The sequence below is a fragment of the Homo sapiens genome, chromosome 7, assembly GCF_000001405.40.
Source record: "Homo sapiens chromosome 7, GRCh38.p14 Primary Assembly".
Lineage (NCBI taxonomy): Eukaryota > Metazoa > Chordata > Mammalia > Primates > Hominidae > Homo > Homo sapiens.
In genome coordinates, this window is record NC_000007.14 from 114,959,057 (window position 1) to 114,981,591 (window position 22,535).

Below are 22,535 nucleotides of genomic sequence, written 5' to 3' on the forward strand. Positions count from 1 at the left end.
ATGTGCCAAAAGCACAAATGTGTGGGAGTGTTCATTTTCTGAATTTTTCTTTTTACTAAAAATGAACAAACATAAGACCAACTATTACTTCTTGAGCCTAAAAAACAAAATTAGATAACTAAGCTCTCAGAGTCAGAATCTACAGCTCTGGTATGACTGAGTAGGTGTGATCATAGCCTGGTCAGTAATAATGACAGATTTTAGTGTCCATTTTAGTGTATGAAACACTAAATTACAGTAAATTGAAAAATGGGTGGTTTATAGTCCTAGAATAGTATTTCTCAGAGAGCAAATAAGACATTAAATCATTTGGGGATGGTTTTATTCTTCCTCTTAATTGAAGGTGTAGTGTCATTTTCACATCTTTGTTCATTAATACAAATATGAAAATATTTGTGAAAGTCCTCTTGGAAGACAGGCTCATTATCATGTGCATCTCCAGTTTGGACATATCTGCATGATATTGTTTTGGCATACAACATTAAAACTTAGTCTTTTGGAAAATGCCATAAAGAAGTTTCATTATTCAGATAACTTAATTTCAACTTAGAGAGTTTCCAGTTAGTCAGGCCTATTGCAGTCCACTCTAGTGTGCCTTGGGAAATAACTGCTGAAATTTCACACACATAATGATTATGTAGGAAGACTTTGGAATAAGTGGAGGCGTCAGTGACTATAGATACAAACATAGAATGGTGCTTTAAAAAAAATAATGGAAGATACACCTGTGGTAAGCCAATTATCTTGACTCCCACATTCTAAATAGACTAATAATAATAATAATAATAATAATAATAATGGGACTGGAGGAAAAGTGAAAATAAAAGAATGGCTAAAAGTGTACCTTTCTCGTCAGCCACTTCCTATTTAATAGGAGTGAGGTGCTTAGTTAGACATTGTAAAGGTGCAGGCAGCACATAACACCAGTGTATAGTGAAAGACTATATGCACCTAGAGAAGGTGAGGTGTGGAGCTCTGTGATTCGGATACTAATCCTCACTAAAACTCATTCACTGTGGGACACTGGGTGAGTCACTTTGTCTTTTAGCTTAAACTTTTGCATCTTTGAAATGTACTTGGAGAAAATCCCTTTTCTCACTACCTCACGGGGTTGGTGAAGGGTCAAATATGAAAATCGAAATGGAAATATTTTGTTAAGTCTCAAAGTCTCTAGATGGATATGAGTCACACAGAGTGATGAGAATAACCAGCACTTGGTTAAAGGAAGAAGTACAGGGCCATTGTGAGTTATGCCATGGAAAGCATAGAACCTCTTCCTTACTGCGTTTTCAGGCTGATCCAGAGATGCTAAGCAGAGAACCAGGGAGAAAAGTAGAGCTTGACCCCTGGATCCTCTCACTGATTATCCAAGAGTAAGTGGGAAAGAGTCCAGTAGGTGTACCATGGCCTTTTTTTAATATAGTCTTAAAAAACCCCGCAAACACATATCAAAAGGGATTTCTACATATGAGGAAATGAGCCACTGCACTGAATAGACCCCTTTTATTTCAAAATTAATTTTCACTTTTAAATATAATGAAAGATCTCAATCAGAAAAATATGCACAAGAATATTATAAGTACCAATGTCCCAGACACTCAGATTTAATAAGTGTTAACATTTTTCCAAATTTTCTGGAGTTTTTGTTTGCCTCTTAGGAAATAAAACATATTTTGTTCAACATGCAGATTCAATATGTATATTCTATGATTTTTGAAATCCCACTTAAATGATAGTAAATTAATAATACATTTTAAAAAGGTACACATTTAAAGAGAGGCACAGACAAGGAAACAATAGTGGATCAAATATGTGAAGACATTTCTTCAAGACGGCAAGTAGATGGAGAAATAATAACTAATTTTATGGTTCTGAAAATCTGGAACCTAAATGTCAGTATGACACAAAACACAGTACTACCCCAAAAGGCTCAAGATTTGGAGGACCCAAGGCTCTTGGAAGATGGGATGAAATTTAGACCTGAGAAGAAGAGTGTGCAAGATTTAGAATATCAGGTTTCCTCCGCACCACCCCTGCCTGCTCTGGGCACTAGGCATAGCAGAGCAAGCATGGGAGTGTCATACTAAACACCGGGTGCTCAGTGAAATTGACTGCCTAAAGGATGAGACACAATCCTTTCCCCCCACAACACATGAACACTCCTAACCTCTTTCTCTCTTGATCAATGATGGCCATGAACCAGAGATTACGAATTAGAGAACATGTTAGTTTTCATATTCTCTTTTATTCCCTAGTTCTTTAACTCAAAGCAAAGAAAGGAAGAGATTTAATCTTACCTCCTCCTGGTTGCCATTGTCACTAGTAGCAGCCCTGAGCTCCTGACACCAGGCTGAAAGCAGAGGGGATTATGACACTAGTATAGTTAATAATTGTTGGCAGTAGGTAGACAGAAAAGTGCTCAATCACTTTTCTCATATACTTTACTCATATACTCCTTATATGAGTCCATTCTTACACTGCTATAAGAAAATACCTGAACCTGGGTAATTTATAAAGAAAAGAGGTATAGTTTTCTCATGCATATGCATGCTGTACAGAAAGCACTGCTGGGGAGGCCTCAGAAAACTCACAATCATGGTGGAAGGTGAAGGGGAAACAGGCACATAATTACATGGCCAGAGCATGAGGAAGAGAGCAAAGGAGGAGGTGCTACACACTTTTAAACAAGAAGATCTCATGAGAACTCACTATCATGAGAATAGCAAGGGGGAAATTTGCCCCCATGATCCTATCACCTCCCATTAGACCCGCTCCTACAACACTGGAGATTACAATTTAACATGAGATTTGGGCAGGGACACAAATCCAAACCATGTCACTCCTGCAGGTTAATTTCACTCTAACTGAATGTTTCTATTGAAGATATCATACCTTCCACCCTCTCTTACTTGTTTCTCTAGAAAAAGAAGAAAATTTTAATAATGATGTTGATAAATATTATTTAGATGACTTAGATTCTGAATTGCAAGGCATAATGAAGTGGGTTCTTACATAGATTCTTTCCAGATTTTTTTCTAGATATCATGTCATATACACATTGTTTTTCTACATGTTGACAATAAATCAGGGATCTATACTCTTGTAATTTAAAGATAGCGAAGGTGATCAGAGATCAGTGTGTTCAACCTCTGTGTTTCTCAATGGACAAATTGAAGCAGAGAAGTAAGTAGTTTGCCCAAGAATACTCAGATAGTGGCAGAACCGGAGCTGCAACTTTTGAAAATGATCTTTGATAATCAATGAGAATATGTAGTAACCACTTGCAATTTGTAAACCATGATATGGGATTTGAAAGGCTATATTAATAGAAAATAATTACTTGAAATTAATGGGAGTTTTTAAGTTCCCAGATATATAGACATTTAATTCACTGTCAAGTTGCCCATTTTGTTCTCCCATAAGGGTTTGCCTTTATGATAAAAACTGCCCTTGGTCATCATTCTAACCGTCCATGTTTCCAGTATTAGAATTATGATTCTCCAGTGAAGTGCATAAGGCAGGAGACATAAGAATCTCTGGAGGAGGAGTCTGTTTTTTTTGAACCACACAGGATATTACTAGAGGATGTGCAGTGCTCAGATAAACTCTGTGGAGTTGGAAAAAGGTTGAGAACTACTGCTAGAGAATTATGTGTTTTAACCGAGTAAAGGAACCAGATTTACGAAATTAGACAAAAATATGAAGTTAGATACAAATCAGAGTGATAGTGTCATTTCTAAAATCTGAGCAGATTCATAAGAATGGCAACATGATTCCCTCACAACTGTTCATTTCATTATTAAAGAGCATCAAATCATTCATACTATTCTTTCTAGCCTAAGAACAATTTTCACTCAATTTCAATATAAATAAGTTTGTATATTTCAGAGAAATGAATGTATGTGTTTCTTTCTTGGAAAGTAATTAAAGTATAAAATTTCTGAAAGTGTTTTCTAATATTCCAAATTGTGGTTGTATTTTACATTTATATACAGTTGATGGCCCCTTTATGTAACTTCAAAGAACCTTTTATTGGGAGTGCCTCAGTTTGCAGTAAATATTTAAGCCAATTTCTGGTCAGTTATACTGAGAGTGGTCTTATAAATGAATAATTTATAATGGTAATGGCGTATATGGTAAATAAGCACAATATTTGGAAGACTATTGCTGGGAATGGTTTATGGAAGTACATTCTGTGATTTTTCTAATATATTTGTTAATGTTTATAATTTGAATTAGGTAATAAATATACATCCAGAGGACAGTGTGTGTATTATCTAGCCACACTGGCTTTCCATCAGGTCAGCAAATGTGCTGAGCCTTGTTCGGCTTCAGGGCTTTGCAGGTGTTGTTAGTCTGGTCTGAGACTCTGTTGCTCCTTGTCTTTGTGAGGGCCCTTCCCCTTCAGATCTTTGTTGAAATGCCATTCCTTGCTATCCAAACTAAAAAATTTCCCTTGATATTCTCTCTGCCAGTAGTACTTTTATACTAGTTGCCATAATTTAAAATTGTGCATCTATTATTTGTTTGTTTTTGAGGCAAGATGTGTCAGCCTGTCACCCAGGCTGGAGTGCAGTGGCACAATCATAGCTCACTGCAGCCTCAACCTCCTGGGTTCCAGCCATCTACCAGCCTCAGCTGGTACTCCTAAGTAGCTAAGAGTACAGGCACGTGCCACCATGCCTGGATAATTTTATTGTTTTTGTAGAGATGGGATCTTGTTATGTTGCCCAAGCTGGTCTTGAATTCATGGCCTCAACTGATCCTCCCGCCTTGGCCTTCCAAAGTGCTGGGATTACAGGTGTGAGCCACTGTGCTGGGCTTTGTTTACTTAGATGTTTAGTGTATTTTTGTTTACCTTTATTTAACTCATCTTAGCACTGTGTCTGGTACTTTCTAGATAAATGTCCGGTAAAAGAATGCATAATATAAATAAAACATAATTTTATATATAATGGGTATTTCAACTTCCTGTTTTTCTTCAAGTGCTGAAATCTTTTTATTGTTCTATTTTTTTATTAGCTCCATGTATTATTCATGGTTTTTGTCTACTGTTGGAATACAGAATTATATTTTTCTAACTATTGATGAAATTAATGTGAGGTCTATGGTGATGAATACATTTGACATTGTCATTTTTCCAACTAATTTGAATTAGAAATAATAATTGACCTTATGAATTATGTGCATGGGATGGTTTATAGGGGTTTGAAAGAGGCAGACACTTGCTACAGGTTTTAAAAATCATCAGGGTTAAGTATAAGAAGCATTATATCTGGGAAGTACAGGGAAAGGCAATTGCATTATTTTTCTTAATTTGCTTTTCTAGGTAAGCAATATGTACTTATTAAGATTTTATTTAAACAATTGAAATGGGGAGCTGCAGAAGAACATTATTGTTTCTTTCTATTCTTCCTTGATGCCCTCCCCTCCCCTCCCCTTCCCTTCCCTTCCCTTTCCTTCCCTTCACTTCCCTTCCCTTCCCTTCCCTTCCCTTCGCTTCCCTCCCCTTCCGACAGAACATCACTCTGTTGCCCAGGCTGGAGTGCCATGGCACGATCTTGGCTCACTGCAACCTCCGCCTCCTGAGTTCAAGCGATTCTCGTGCCTCAGCCTCCTGAGTAGTTGGGATTACAGGCACCCGCCACCACACCCAGCTAGTTTTTGTATTTTTAGTAGAAACAGGGTTTTCCTGTATTGGCCAGGCTGGTCTCGAACTCGTGACCTCATGATCAGCCTGCCTCGGCCTCCCAAAGTGCTGGGATTACAGGCGTTAGCCACCATGCCGGGCCCCTTGACGTCATTTTTCTATGTGGTCACTGTTCTCAGTGCTGGATCAGAAGAATAGCACTGTATGTATGTGGGCTTCCATGTGTCATTTAATAAATGTTGAGTGACTATATGAATGAAGGAGTGGAATGTTTCTTGTTATGGAAAAGCATACAGTTTGGTGGAGAGGACGGATCTTTAAACAAATTTTGCTCTAGAGGCAGAGGAGGGAGCCACAAGGTTCCCAGCGGAACAATTTAGCAAAGGCAGATAGTAGATGACATTTCACCTAGGTGTTGATGTAAGAGTAAGAGGCAGTGAAGGGCATTCCAAGGAGAGGAGTAGTAGGTACAAGGCCTAGAGGCATGAAAAGATTGTGGTAAGTTTGGGAATCAGGAGAAATTCAGTGTAGCTAGAGTGTGGGAAAATAAGAGAAAACAATGGCATAGGGGTTTGGAGCAATACTGTGAAGGGTTTGGAAGAGGCTACTGAGTTGTGATTTTATCCTGGAGATGGGTAAATACTGGAGCTTTCATCTAGGACATTAATGTAAACACATTTTGTTTTTGGTTTTATTTTTTAGAAATGTATTTTTGGTAGTGAAATGGAAGATGGGCCGGAAGAGAAAATCTGGACTCCCAGAGTTCAGGTTAGGAGACCAAGATAACCTAGATAAGAGATGATGAGGACTTAAACTGATGTTGACCAGGTAGACGGAGGGGAAAGGATGGATTATGGAACACAGTTGACATTTGAGAGATACTTGTGTGCAAGGCACACAGCAAAGGTTACTGATTCAGTTAGTGACAGGTGGTGGGGGATGAGCAGGGACGGGCCAGTTTTGTAATCTGGGAGAGTTTTCAAGATGTATTCCCTCTCTGACATCTATTAACTAGCACAGAGTCTTCAGGATATTATTAGGTGCTCAATAAAAGTTTATTGTATGAGAATAAGCAATATTTTCTTTATCTCTCATTTGGTTGTATCTTTCCCTACTTTGTTATTTCATTTTTTCTTACATTTTATCCTTGTATTCTGACACTATTTCTTAGTTTTGCTTCTGTTTTCCCCAGAAGAGTACTTTGGTTAAAATGTATCACTTGCAAAATAGAATAACACACCGCCATGTAGTGTTGCTTCAGGTTATAATTTTCCATATATGTACAGTATGCCAAAAGGATGCTGCTTCTAGAGAGAATGTTTAAAACTCACTTCTCTAGATTTTTTTAAAGTTACTTTAGTGTTTCACATGTTTGCCAGATATCATTGTCATTGAAGATAAGCATTGATTAAATTTCAGAATTTTATTAATGAAAGCAATCTTTTGAGCAAATTTAGAAAATAAATTTAGTTTTGGTAGGGTATATTATTTATTTTTTGTAGCAAAATTATTTCTTCATAATGTCAAAGATAATAGTCAGTGTTTTACATTATCAAAGTAAATTCCCAAAGGTAAAGAATGATTTGTGAGTGCCACTGGGCTTGGCTGTGCTGAAATTGTGAGCCTGTTGTTACTTCTGATTTATGACTGGGAAAGTCTGTGTTCATTGTGCTCACTCTGATGTCCTAGTCAGGAAACCAAAAAAAAAAAAAAAAGGAAAAAACACCACCAAACTGGGAGATGTCATTTTATATGGTTATTTTTTCTATCTTCAAGACAAAATCACCAAGATAACATTTTTGAAGCACCAACCTGCACTTCGGGCTGATGAGTACTAGTGGAAGGCGTCATCTTGGAATTTTACAACCCACAGTCACATGACTACAGCTCCCACCAACAATATATCAAAAAGAACAGGTTGTTTGTGTCACTAAACACTATAATAAAAGAACAAAATAATATTTACAGAATAACAGTTTATACTAGAGCAATAGTTTAAAATCTGGTTGTATATCAGAATTACCTGAAAGCTTTTTTCAAATATTGTTTCTGGGTTCCACTCTCTGGAAGATTTTGATGCCACAGGGCAGGGTTAGGCCCGTAGAGCATATGTAGAAGTTGTATCTGGGAAGCATGGTTAGTAGCAATAGGACAATATGGAGGACAGACTATTCTAGGAGATTGTTAATGGACAGAGTTTAGCTTCTTAGTGATGTTAAGGGATGAAGGTGCTAATATTCAGTCATTCAAAAAGGCGTATTGGATTTTTTTTTAAAAAAATATATCTACTTAGAGCAAATATGTAAAAAGTTCAAATTTTAAAAATTCTGGTAAATTTCTGGGTGTTATATATTATTCCCAATACTTTTCTTTGTTTAAATTTTTAAAAAAGTGTTGATGCAGTTGAAATTGCTTGTTGCTCTCTGAACATTTGCATCTTTCTTAAGAGATTACAGATTTTGTTCAGATGCACAAAAGTCAGGTGAAAAGATTCTGATTAGTTTCAGCCAGTCATGGTCATCCTGTTCCCCTTGCAAGTGATTGGTTTGGAGGTCAGCCTGTGACTCAGTTCTGGCCAATGAGATGTGAGAGGACATCTCCTGGAGGGTTTCTGGAAAAGTGTTTTTAAATATTTTTAGAAAAAGACATTAAGGGAGAATGCCCCCTCTTTTCAAGGCTTGATGTCATTCTTTGATGAAATGCCTGAAGCTGCATCATAGACTCATAATTATGAGGGCAATAGTCAGATGAGAAAGTTGACATGCTGAAGATGACTGTAAACATATGGAATCTTTGTCTTTCATGATATAAAGCTGTGAAATCAATAATAGTAGAGCTGCGCTATTTTTGGATTTTCTGTTATATGAGATGATAAATATTTGTAAGTTAAGTTATATGAGGGCCAGGTCTTTATACATTTATTCTTTGTAATATCCCTTATTCCAAGAATGGTGCCTGGCACCATAGTATATAAAAAAAAATTTATAATAATGTATTTAAGTCGGTTTGCAGCCAATGTTACCTTGAGAGATTTAGTGGGTTTTAATGGCACAATTAGAGGAAAAACATCTGTGTAAATGGTCTCAATCATGTTAATCTTTTATTTCTTTTTTTCTTTCTTTTCTTTTTTTTTTTTTTTTTAATTTTGATGGAGTCTCTCTTTGTTGGCCAGGCTGGAGTGGTATAATCTCAGCTTACTGTAGCCTAGACCTCCCAGTCTCAAGTGATTCTAACAGCTTAGCCTCTCAAGTAGCTGATACCACAGGCACATGCCACCACACCCAGTTTTTTTAAAAGACAGGGTCTCACTATGTTGCCCAGGCTGGTGAAAAACTTGTGGGCTCAAGGGATCCTCCTGCCTCAGCCTCCCAATGTGCTGGGATTACAGGCATGAGCCACTGTGCCCAGCCTCAATCGTGTTAATCTTGAAATGTGGTTAATGAGTTTGTCTCTCTGTGCCATTTGCAGATGCTTATATGTTAAGTAACATTTTATTCCCAAGGAGTTTAAAATTATCTTGCTACTTTGATGAAGACAAAATCTAAAATTAATACCCCCCAAATCATGCTCCAAAAAATTAAAACATGGGCAAGATTTTAATCTCAGGAGAAAGCAAATGAGAATGAGAAAATAATGTCATTTTTACTTATTCATTTATGTGCTAGAAATTTCCATTGTGTTTAAGCTGTCTATCACATATAAAGAAGAATTAAAAATTAGTATATGTGAATCTACTTCTGCAAGTTTGGAAACTTTTGTTGCACGATTTATCTGAATATTGTTGTTCGATTATGTGGGATAAGCAGCTTGTTCATTACTTCCTTATGGAAGAAACTCACCAGGATTTTCTATATGGGTTGGACAAGATAATTAGCACCATCCCAGTTTTTTCCTAAGTTAATTCTTAGAACTTTGCTTGCAGTCCTAAATTATCAAATTATGTCAGACAGAGGTTCATCTATAATGAGAACTGTTATTAGAATTAAAGCACAAAGATTTCCTTTTCTCAATGTATTTTAAGGGAATTTATGGAAGTCCTCCTAGTAACAACTACTCACCAAAGAACTTTGAGGGCTATGAGCACTACTATTAAAGTTTTGGAAATGTATAATAATAGAATTGATTTTCTTCTGATTTACCTTGTGTAAACTACCAGAAATAAATTTAATTTTGTAAATGTTCAGTTAGCAATTTGTATGCTCGTCTACGTAATTCCATATCTCATAACTGGAACTTCATTTGCATTCCCACTGCCCTAATCTCAAGGAGATACCAGTTTCACTTGTATATTAAGTTGGGTTTGCTTTTATTACAAGGAGGAAAAAACTTTCAGTTACGAAATTTGACTTTGACTTTTCTGACGCTGTTTTCAAAAAGGTTACTTAACTAGTATTTTAGATGCATTTCTCTACACATAGTATGATATCTGTAACTGAATCTTTAATTCCCTAGTTACAACAGAGTGAATTTCTTGAATCCTTGCTACACTTCCGCCATCCTCATATTATGCTTTTACAGCAATTCCCTAGACTCGTGAAGGTGAAGGATGAAGTTTATAATGGTATTGAATACCAAACTGTTGCTTGATTTATTCAGGAAGGTTGTTATATGCTGGGATCAAGTGACAGCTTAAAAGCTAGTATAATTCATCATCATCAGTTAATTTTCACTTGGTGTCCACTGGGTGCTGAACATCATACAAGGCTCTTTGTCAGCATATATGTGTCTGATACGGTTGACGGAATTCTAAGAATATAGGATCTTGTACTGAAGGAACTCTATATAATAATCAAGGCAAGTCAGCAAATGCCCAGTATTGTCAAACTCTGTGTATAAAATGTATTCTATTAAAAATACTTTATTTTTGTGAAGGGTTCATGTCAGTAAATTGAGGTCCCAGACGCAGTATCTATACTGCTACCAGAAGAAAGGGGTGAATTGGATAGACCAAGAGCAGTTATCTACTATGGTCTTGTTTTTGGCTGATCAGCACACACTTATGTGTGTATAAACATGCAGATGATGTCACAATGTTTCTACTTAATGAGATCCAATGATCCCTCACACAAACGTATATGTACTTCTCTCCCTAATGAGAAACAAATCAAAGTAACATCCAGATGAAGCATCTAGAGCTAGTGTCATGTTATTCCACAGACCTCTAGGTGATGTTTGTTCCTCTTCTGAAGTAATTCAGAAATCTGTCCTAAATCAAATTTGGAAGTAGCCCTTCATGATCCTGCAACATGTGGCTTAAAACACCTCTGGATAGGCAGAACGTAGGATAGCCACAGTGTAAACTCTGAAGTACAGTGCTGGTCTAGGGAATGCACCATTTTTCCCTGGTTAGGGCTGGTACAGAAGATAATATGGCCAGGGACTATCATAAGCATCTTGTTGTTGAGTTTCTTCCCTGACCTTGGTCTGGGTTCTGTCCCAGTGGATTTGTTACTGAAGGATTATCTGTTAAGAAGATTCCCCTTGTTTGGGGACCTTCATAGCCATCTCTGAGAAGGGGTTCAGGGAGGATTCCCTTGCAGGGGCCTTAGCAGTTCTTTCTTTGTTGGCAACAAGGACTTGGATTCAGATTCCCTTAGGGTGGAACAGTCATAAGCATTTATTTGCTAGGCTGGGGATGTTTCTAGCAATACAGTTTCTTTATTATTTTTGTTGATTGCTTATCTATCTTATTTTTTTGTAGGTGGCAGTAGAGGATTTCATTTTCTGGTCACTGGCTCCAAATTTGTGTCAAATAATGATCTTTGACTCTGGTCCCTTGCTTTACCACTTTCGTTTTTGGGCTCTGGGCTATCCATATCGCCTTTTGTATCAATTTAATAGCTTCCTGTCACTAGCTGTACTTCTGCAAGTGGTGAGGCTTGACCTGGGTTGCTGCGCCTTCCCCAGGATTTACTCCTTGTGAATGAATGATCTGAATGACTTAAAGGCAGTGAGTGGGGAAGGCACTTGGATGAGCCTGGAGTTTCAGTCTTCAATAGTTCAATCTCCTCCCTAATATTTCCAGCACTTTAGTCAGCATACTAAACTCAAACAAGTAACTTGGCTGCTGAAATTCAGCTAACATGTATATGATTATCATGACTTTAGTGGTCTCAGATCCCTGGCTACCAAGGCTGTTCCTTAGTTTGTACATGTGTGAATTGCATAAAGGCAAGTGGGGGCTGAACTTCAGTTCTTCCTCTACTCACCAGCGCTTGAACCACAGCAAGCATGACTTTTTGAAATGTGTCTCTACAGAGGAGAGGACCTTTTTGAGTTTACACAATAAGAAATTTATTTGCACATTGCTGGCTATGGCTGTATCACCTGTAGGTAAAAAAACAGCTTTTAATAAAGCTGTCTACTTTTTCTAGTTGGCTTTTACTTCAACTAGTTAGAATGAAGTGTATTGTTTTGTTGTAGGAACTTCTGAAGGCCATAAAAAGTCTAACATACAAATATATGGACAGTTTTCTGCAGAGTACCATGAAGATCCAGTCTTAGTATACACATTTCAAGAACTGATGAGCTGCTCTTTAATATTAACTGCTGATTTTTCAGGTTAGGATGGAGTGATCTCATTGTTCCCATTCTTGCCTTTACTTACCTAACTTCACATTTCAACAATCTACTTCTGATACAGGTGTTTATATTAGGTCGGAATTCTTGGTTTCAAACTTTTTTATATATATCCTTGTTTTATCAGAGAGCCTGAATCACACAGAGGGGAGTAAAGGGATCCAAAAGCAGGGCTGGGTCTGGGACCTCTATCAGAAAAGCGTTCTGCATCTATCTAAGTTTGTCAATATATTCATTGAATTGAAACCTGAGAGTGCTGTATGCTTCTTAATGGGAGGTCTTCTTGCATACTTTGTGACCTGTATTGCTTGCTTTTGTGCTTTTATCCTCAAATGAATGACAAATTTGGCTTTACATCAGGCTAGCTTTTGTACATCATAATTTCTTGTTAATTTCTCTGGATAATAAGCATTAGAGAAAAGCTATACTTGGATAAAATATAGTGGATTTTTTTTTCTTCATTGGTTTACTATCTGGGGATGTTTTAGTAATACATGCAGATCTTAAAAGAAAATGCTGATTATTTTCTTTAAAACTCTTATATTTGGATTTACTTTTCTATCACATCATAGTTTTTCTGAAAAGTGAAAGAAAATGTTTGTATATTAACTTGAAAATGTTTATTTGCAAAAAGGCTTTGGGCTGATTTACAGAAAAAAAAAGTTAATAACACAGAATAAAAAAACAAAAGACAAATAGTAATTCAGGAATAAATGGGGAAAAATTATGTAGAGGAGGATAAGGAAATGGAAAAACAAGGGTTAGAGGCTGGGAAGCTAGGCCTCCCCGTACATAGGAGGATCTGTCATTTCTCTCATTTGCATATGAAGTCCTAATGTGGGGGAGGGAGGGAATGTTTAGGGTAAGGGGTGAAGTAACTTTTGTAAGACCACAGAAATGGGAAATACTGACTCTAGCATTCAAACCCCGGTTTGTCTTGTTCAAAATCTACAGGCTTACCACTATTTATTTTTGCCAATATCTTGTTTGAGGAAAGCTGTTAGCAGTTACACATACATTACTCCTGATACAAAGGTGATCAACTCATCCCAGATTGCCGGGGACCGACCTGGTTTAAAACTAAAAATTCTTCATCCCAGGAAGCCCCACCCCACTCTACCACCCCCTTAGACCTGAGTAAACTGGGATTGTTGGGTCACCCATCTGATATCCTCCTAGTCATGATTAGGATGGAAATTTGAGGAAATTTTACATAATGGTCTTCAAATGGCAAAGTAAGGTGGGATGGATACTTTTTCTGCAAAACTACATGATATCATTATTATACCTCATTAATAATTAGACCCTGCATTGTAAAGATTGTCAACTTTCTTTTTCTCTCTTTTTTTTCTTTCTTTCTTGAGACAGGATCTCCGTCTGTCACTCAGGCTGGAGTGCAGTGGCCTGATCATGGTTCACTATAACCTTGCCCTCCTGGGCTCAAGCCATCCTCCCACTGTAGCCTCCCGTGTACAGGCATGTGCCATCACACCTGGTTAATTTTTTATTTTTTGTAGAAACAGAGTTTCACTATGTTGCTCTGGCTGGTCTCAAACTCCTGGGCTCAAGTGATCCTCCGACCTCAGCCTCTCAAAGTGCTAGGCTCTGCACCTGGCTCAGATTGTCTACTTTCTAAGGTCCACTGTAGCTGTGGATTTAGTAGCATTCTTTCTACTACTATTAAGAGATTGTTTATATGTTATTAATAGATTGTTTATATTTTTAGCCGATCATCATTTAAACATTTCCTTCTTGTGAAATTTGGCATATTTTAAGTCATTTGGGCTAAAGGCAGTTTATGTATCGTGTGTGTGTGTATATATATATATATATATATGAATATATGTGTATATATGTGTATATTCACAGTACATAGTTGTTAATAGGCCTTGATAGAAGCTATTAATGTTTTATAGAGTCTCAGCATTAATTCTATAGTTTAAATAGGATAAAAGTTAATTCCCTATGGAACAGTAGGAAATGAGCATTCCAGGTCAGTGAGAGGCTCCCCTCCCTGCTGCCATACAGATTCCTTTTGTTTGGTCTCTGGAACATCTCTTAAGATATTTCACTCAGCTGTGGTCAAAACTGGTTTGCTGCCAACTGCAAAAAACAAAGTATAGAGAGGGCACACCCGGGTTTTAAGGCCCAATCCTAAAAGTGGCAGAAATAATTCCTGCTCTCATTCCTTTAGAGAGAACGTAGATACATACCTGAACCTAACTGCAAGGGAAAGCTGAGAAATGGGACTAGCCACGTACTCAGGACAATTGGGAAAATTAATTTGGAGAAGAATCTCTTACTCCAGGCATTATTTAAATCTAAGTACTCTCTAAATGTTCTTAATGAAATGCAGAAAAATTATTGCCTCTCTAAACACAACTTCTAAAGTTTTATCCTTTCTTTGGGGATGGGGGTAGTTGTACTTCCTGTTGTCATCTGGAGATTTATTTTGCAATCATTAAAACCGAACTAATGTTAAAAATTCTGTAAGATGTGATATAATCATAAAACAATTGCCTCCTTTGCGAGTTCCCAGCCAGGTAGTTACAGAATTTGACTGGGATCCTTAAATTGATCAATGTTCCAAAAAATGTCAGAATTCCAAAATGTATTTCAGTATGTTAAATATATACATCAAATAAAATAAAGATGGAAAATATGATGTCATAAAAGAGTCCAGAAGCTCAAGAGGCAAATAAAAAAAAGATTAGAAGGCCCTTGCCAGGGAACTAAAGAAACAGATACAGAAAGTGCCAGAAGCTTCTAGACTATGTCAGTATTGGGATATAGGGTCCATGTAGGGTCTCCATATTGAGGAAGATTTGGATCAAGTTGATGAAAAGAGTTGGGTATTAGGATGTTTATTTTAGTTGATTTTAGCCTAAATTCACATTATATAGCAATAAAAATGTAAGATAGTTTTTATCATGTTAGTTCATATTGAAATAACTTTTCATCTTCCTTTTAAAGCTGTTGTATATATGCAAATAATTGCATATATATGCATATTATATATATATATATCTTCTACTATCTGTGTGTATATTTGTCCCATTGTGACCATGGAGTAGCAAAGTCCTGGGCACCAGTAAAAGCTTTGTTGCCATCCCTGGGAAAAGTCATTTAGATTTACACCAAGTCATTTTCCCCCTCCATATTCTACATTGATCATTTTGTTACTGACAATTTTACATCCTGAGCATTTAATTTTGATTTTTTTATGTGTACAACAACCATTTAAACTGAATAGCATGAGAATTCTTTTGTAATTTTATTAAATCTGACTTGTGTAAAGTGACCAGTGGCTGAAGATGATTTGCACATGCTAATAGATTATACACTATAGCAAAATGTTGCTTTATATTGCTACTCCAGCAGCTGTGGTTTCAAGTATAGTTATTACTAGCTACAATATCACCAGTTTTTTAAAAAAATTGTCAAAAGAAGTTCATGCTATTGACTCATTTACTCCCATATTTATTATTCTTATTGAAAATCGCTAGACCTAATTCTATTGGTTTCCTTCCTGATTGAAAACATTTGAACCTAGAAAGTGCAGTATTTCTTAAGTCATTTGTAACTATTCATCATGGATATTAAAATTACAATCATGCTGTATTGTGTCAGCAATGTTTTTTTTTTTTAATCTTTACACATATGCTAAGCCGGTGACCAATGCTATCCAGGTTTGAAGATGCTGAATGTTCTTATAAGTGGTATTTGAAATTTTGATGTGTATTGCATTCATTACTGAATATCAAGAATACTTTTTTTTTGCTAGTATTATGGAGTAAATTTAAAATGGGGTCTTTTGTAGAAGCACCTATCCTGTTTAGAATGATATAACAGATGCTGAATGTTCACATATCAAACAAAATGCCAGCTTTCTTTAGAAAAGAGGTGTCAAAAAGTTTCTTTGTACCTTTAACGCATGTGATTATGTAGTACAAAATGCAGAGTTTGTAAAATTTCGTGAACATACAGGCAAAAAAATGAATAATTCAAAACAACTCATAAGTTCTACATTCTATTGTCCCTTTATAACGCAGGCAGAAGATAGCAGTGCACTCCCAATAGAGCTGAATTTGCACAAGTTACACCTCTGAAAAATGCCAGATGGTCTATGGTCTACTTTTGAGAGCTGTCACATATGTAAAGATTTGAAAAAAGAAAGACAGCTGAATGAGAGCAGTGGATCATTAAAGGGAGAGTGAGGGTCCCTAGGCATCACTTGTGTTTTAAGAAGCATTGTGTCGTTTCCATATTAGCATGCTTTTTTTTTTTTTAAAGCCATACACAACTTTGACACAATAAGGAAGGAAATCTGTTTAAAGCCAAGTTGTTGTGGTTTAATCCGTCAGGTGTTTTTGTTCTTCATTTGAAAATAAAATCATGTTTCCTACTTGGTTTTAACTCTAATTTTACCATAAGATTCAAGTCATACCCATAAATAATTAACAATAAAGTTAAATTTAATTTCTGTTGAGATAGCTAATGTATTTAAGGCTTATCCAGTTTTGATTTGACTTACGTAATACACACATCTGGCAAAATCATTCAACTAATAAATATTTTAATGTTAAAAAAACTAGAGTAAAGGGATAATACTTGGTTATCTGATCATAATCCAAACTATAGTGAAAATAATTAGGTGACAGTGAAACAAAAATAATGTACTATTATTTATCTGCCAACAGAAATGGATATCATTTTAAAGATTGAAATGTAGATAAACCATTAAGGATGCGTGAGAATATCACTCCAGCCATACCTAGTAATTTGCAAATAGTCAATTTTGATAGCAGAAAAAGGTCAAATATGTCAGTTTTAGAATTTGGTAGCCAGGATACAAGTGTCTTTTACCACTCTTATTTTTATTTACTAAAAATATTTATTACATAGTAATTCTAAATTTATTTTGAATTATGAAATATGACAAGACATTTTTGATTGACAAGGAGTCTCCCCAGCTTTGGTCAATGACATTTCAACTCAATCAAGCTCTCAGATTGCTTGAATTATTCTTTCCAGAGGAAAAAGTGGCTTTCCAGAGGAAAAACCAAATTAGGTTTAACTGTCTTTTTTGGCATCTTTTTAAATATGTATGCATAACTAGCTTTATGTTCAATAGCGGTCATTAGAATGTCATTCTAGTTGATACAAGAAGTTACAGAAGCAGCAAATTCATCTCTAAATCAAACCATTGCACACCCGTAGAAATAGATCTCCTTTTACAGAGGCTTTGTAGATTTTAGTTATGAAAAGGGCATATATAACTGCTAAACAGATGTTTACTTTTAGACTATTATTCCTCTTTATCACTAAAGAACTGAAAAACGGTAACAGGATGTTCTATATTAGTTTTTATAAATCAGATATTAATGCTAATAGACTTGGTGTGAAAGTGTACATTTAAGTAAAAAATCCATCATTTTTCTTAAAATATGCTAATAAATGAGTAGAATATTTTGATATGTTAAGATGTTTTTCTTCACAATACATAGGATGTATGAACAAGAACTGAAGTAAACAATGGCTTACTAAAGACTTACTCAGATGCAAACTGTCTTTTTTTTTTCTGAAAAATGCTTCAAGTCTTACGTAGTCACCAAAGATAATAAGTCCTCTTTAGCACATTTATCAACCCCACGTATAACTGTTACAACCTTAAATGTAATACTTTTCCAAGTGGAAGAGTTCTTCATAGTCTTATGTAATTTACATTTCATAATTGCTTATAATCGCGAACAGAAAAAAAGACTAATTAAAACAGTAAGTTTTAGATTTTGAAATTCCAGGAAAGTATAGCACAGTAAAATTTTCACAATGAATGTTTTTTGTTGTTGCTGGTGATTTTGCTGAAAAGCTGTGATATATAGCTTTGCTTAAAATGTATATAATGAAGATAATGATGATTTTAATACTTAATCGATGTAAACAGATAACTTTTGGGGGGCATCAAGGCTTTTAGCTGCAAATATCTTGGCTAATTTAAATAGAAAATAAATTTATTAGCAGCACATAGATGCTCCCAGAGTTATACAGACAAGGATCATGTCCATCCATTCAGTAGGGCTGTTCTGTTGAAAACCCCACTGCTGTAGCACTGGGCCACTGTTTTGCTAGGAGGTGAGGGACACCATAAGTTGTCCCTCACTGCTAAAATCAACAAATACCTCTTCACTCCCTGTGTTGAGAGGCTCCACCACCCTGGTGTGGCTAACAGCTTGCATTGATCACTTCCAAATGCAAGCCATACTTCTCTTCTGGCAGAACTTAGGTCACATCCTTGTCCTCTAGCTCCAGAGTAGCCTAGGGATGTCGTAGAGGAATTTACCTAACTCCATGAGTGTGACCAGAATGCTGGACAACACAACACAACAGGTGAATATTCACATTTGTTTTATGATTCATTGTCTAAAAAATCATATTTGTTTGTGCTTATGCTATTAAAACAGTCTCCTCTATTTACACTTTAAATAAAAAGTTTTGTTTTTTATATATAGGCATTTAATACATTTGGAATTTACATGTACTAATTATATTAAGTATACTATACCCAAATATTAATTGTATAAATATTAACATTTATATAATTAATTATATTTTATTTATATATTTTATATATCACATAAATATTATATATGTATTATATAATAATTACATAATCAACATAATTATATTAGATTATATTGATATAACCATTAATATTTATATTAATATTATTATATTAATTGGTATAATAAAATAATTATGCATATTATTTATATTGTACCCAAATATGTAGGTGTGTGCATGTCTACCTTATATTAATATATGAGTCCCATATTTGGGGCTCAATAATTTCATAAGCTTCATTGGCTTGTATGTCTATGCCTGGTCCAATGCTGTACTGCTTTAGGTGCTGTGATAGAAATATCTCATACATCAAATCCTACAACCCTCTTTTTCTTCTAAAAATTTCCTTGGTCTTTCTTGATTACTCTTCCATATACATTTTTGGATCAGCTTGTCAAGTTCCATAAACAAGCCTGTTGGAAATGTTATGGAAATGGCATTAAATAATAAATCGGAGAGAATTAACATAATTAACATATTTATACTCTCTCCACTTATTTGGGTTTTTTCTATGACTTTCAGTAGTGTTTTGTAATTTTTGCCATAAAACCTCTGCCCATTTTTTTCTAGTTTAATTCCAAAATACGTATAGCATCTTTTGTTTGTTTGTTGGCTTGTTCTTTCTTTTTTTGCTATTGTGAAGAGTTATTTTTCTTGTTTATTTGTTAATCGGTTATACTCTTTGCTTACAGGAGCATTGTTGATTTTATATGGTTGTGTATCAATCTTGCTACATTTTTAGACTTTCAGTTTTTATAGTCTTAAACTTAGATTATATATATACTATATATTTGAATGTTCCCCAGAACATCCAAATCTGTGCACATCTCAAAAATTTTGTTCATTCCTGTCTAGAAGTCAGACCTATTAAATTTCTTTGTCTTGTTTATTGCTTGTACTATGATCTCCTGCACAATATTGCATAAGTCACGTAAGGGTGGGCATTTGACATACTTCTAAAGTCCTGACATTTAATTTTGGTAGATATGTTTTATTAAAGAAATTATCTTGTATTCCTAATTTTTCATAACTTGTTTATTTAAAAATCAAATTAAAGAATAAATATAGAAAAGATTTTCTTCTGCAGGATTCACAATGGGATTTTTTTTAAAAACACTGTATTTTTCTTTGTATTGTCTGGCTTTGAATACCAGAACTTATCATTTCTTTCCTTTTATTTGAAAAGACAATTGAGTAGTTTGTTATTAGTAGTAGTATTGAGATAACACTGTTGTGTCTATGCACAAAGAGGGCTCAGCATATAGAAAATAATCAACATTCTCTGAATGAGTCTTAAATTACCTTTTCAGATTTCTAACTTAAATTTTCTTTAAAACCGCCCAAAACAGTATTTCTATGGTCTACTTTTTATATCCTTGTACAAACCCACTTTTGATGACCCCGTTCCCATTTTCCATTTTAGTAAATTATACTTTCTCTATGTCTATGTTAGTATTTTTCTTTCTTTTCTTTGTTGCCTCTTCAGTGTTAGTATTATGGGTAAAACCCCAAATCTCTGTTACTGAATGTATTTTCATTATTTTAAAATATTAATTTCTTTTTCTTTAACTGGCTGACTTTTTCCTGTTTTTAATTTAGCCCAACCTCAGCGCTTGCCTCAGCTTCAGACTTCAGCCCAGGTGCCAAGTGGTGAGGAAATAGGCAAGATAAAGAACGGCCACACAGGTCTGAGCAATGGAAATGGAATTCACCACGGGGCCAAACACGGATCCGCAGATAATCGCAAACTTTCAGCACCTGTTTCTCAAAAAATGCATAGAAAAATTCAGTCCAGCTTGTCTGTAAACAGCGATATCAGTAAGAAGAGCAAAGTAAATGCTGTCTTTTCCCAAAAGACAGGCTCTTCACCTGAAGGTAAGTTTGAGATATATGTAGATTTTATTTGACCAGATGTAAAATAATATTTCCTGGTAATTATTTGATCAAGCATATATAATTGAAGAATCTTGCTTATCCTTCAGACAAACAGGAATTTTGGTAAAATGCAGATTAACTTTCCCAAAGGAAAGCACAAGATAGAAAAGGAAGCAGTGGCAGCTGACATCCTGCTTTTAGATAATCGTCTTCTAGAGTGAATAGTCATTACTTTAAATATAACTGCTATACTTCTTTTTTTAATGCCACATTTAAAAATATAAATACAACATTTTGATGGCATACATGAGTGTGTGTGTGTATTTTTATCCCTCCCTGATGCAATATGTTATTCTATAGTTCAGAGATAAGATTACCTGCTTGTATTTTTGTCTTGCAAATCGGTTCTTAAATAGACAAAGCTAAAATGAGAGAAAGATTAGGTAATTTTCATGCTCTTGCCAGGGAATAGGCCAGGTGATTTCTGTTGCTTGACTGACCAGCATCTTCCAGCCGCCACGTTGGCCAGCACCTGCAACCATCTCCACTCCCATCCCATTTCAGCCTCACTGTGGTCTGGTCTTCACCTCCTCCTTTAGAGACACTTGGCTGTGTTCTCTGTCCCCTGGAGAACTAGTTATTACCTCTTCAGTTCTATCTCATCCTGCCCTTGGCTGGGTTAAAAGCAGGTTAAATACTATGAACCTGAGAAAGTTCTTTATTAATCAAATTGCACATGGTGACAATTAAAACAGACTCCCTTTACATGATTCATTGTATTATATTTCAAAAATAAAAATCTCCCATATTTAAGGATCCAAATTTCTTTCCATGTATCCATGGTTCTCTGGTTTTCCTCCTTTCCCCTTTTAGCAGTTATTGGATGTCTAAAGTCTTGAATCTGTTATATGTATCTGATATACATATATTTCTCCTTATTCCCCTTTCCTTTCTATTTTGCTATGAAATCTTAAGTAAGAGAAATTTTGTGGAATGCCTCTGTGAAGTTGGTCATGCTTATTCATAGAGACAAATTGAGTTGTAAATAGGAAATTGTATTGAGAATTACCAGTAATGAGTGGGAGAAAGGATATTGCATTTTGGCTACAGGTGTCTCAAACTCAACTGAGATAAAGTGTTAGGTTGATCAAATGATATGATAATAAATGGTCTGCATAGTTCCAGGTCAGTGACACTACTTTCCAAACTAATTAGATTGAAAGGGACTTGATTGACACTTTAAAATGAGTTTGACATGTAAGCTGCATGGTCATCTCTGAAGCATAGGTAGGCTGTTAACTAAACTGGCTCTCCAAGGAGTTGGGAAAGCAATGCAATTTTCTTTAGAGGATCTTCGCTTCTAGGTGATCGGGTGAAATAATTGAATGCAATTGAAATGTACTTGTTTTATACATTTGAATTCACTTATTACGTCCCTAACCTCTTATTTTCCATTTGATATTTACTTATTTTTGTATTAAAGAATGGTAACATTCGCATATCAGTCCTAACTTGAAATAGCTTATGGAATGTTTATAAATTTTTTTATTATTGCTTGCCTTTAATACCATGTCTGAATTTATTTGTAATGTAGGAATGCAGCTTCATAAGTAACATACGAAGGAGGAAGAAAATCACCGGTATATGAATGAGATACAGTTTTACTCTTCCTCTTTCTCTCCCTTCTCCTTTATTCTCCCCCTTCCCTCCCTCTTTTACTTTTTCTTTCTCTTCTCTCATGCTCACATTCACACTTATGGCCTACCACAGAGCTCTGGATAAGGGAAGTCCCTTGTAATCTGTGTAATCT

General features: G+C 35.5%; 1 protein-coding gene across 2 annotated transcripts in view; it reads left to right on the forward strand.

Annotated features, from left to right (window-relative positions):
• The window catches only part of MDFIC (MyoD family inhibitor domain containing), a 97,824-nt gene that overhangs the window by 36,963 nt on the left and 38,326 nt on the right, over window positions 1-22,535 (forward strand). For both annotated transcript variants that reach the window (NM_001166345.3, NM_199072.5), the window contains exon 4: window positions 20,450-20,725. In NM_001166345.3, coding sequence (NP_001159817.1) covers window positions 20,450-20,725 — 276 coding nt within the window. The remainder of the gene's footprint in view (window positions 1-20,449; window positions 20,726-22,535) is intronic.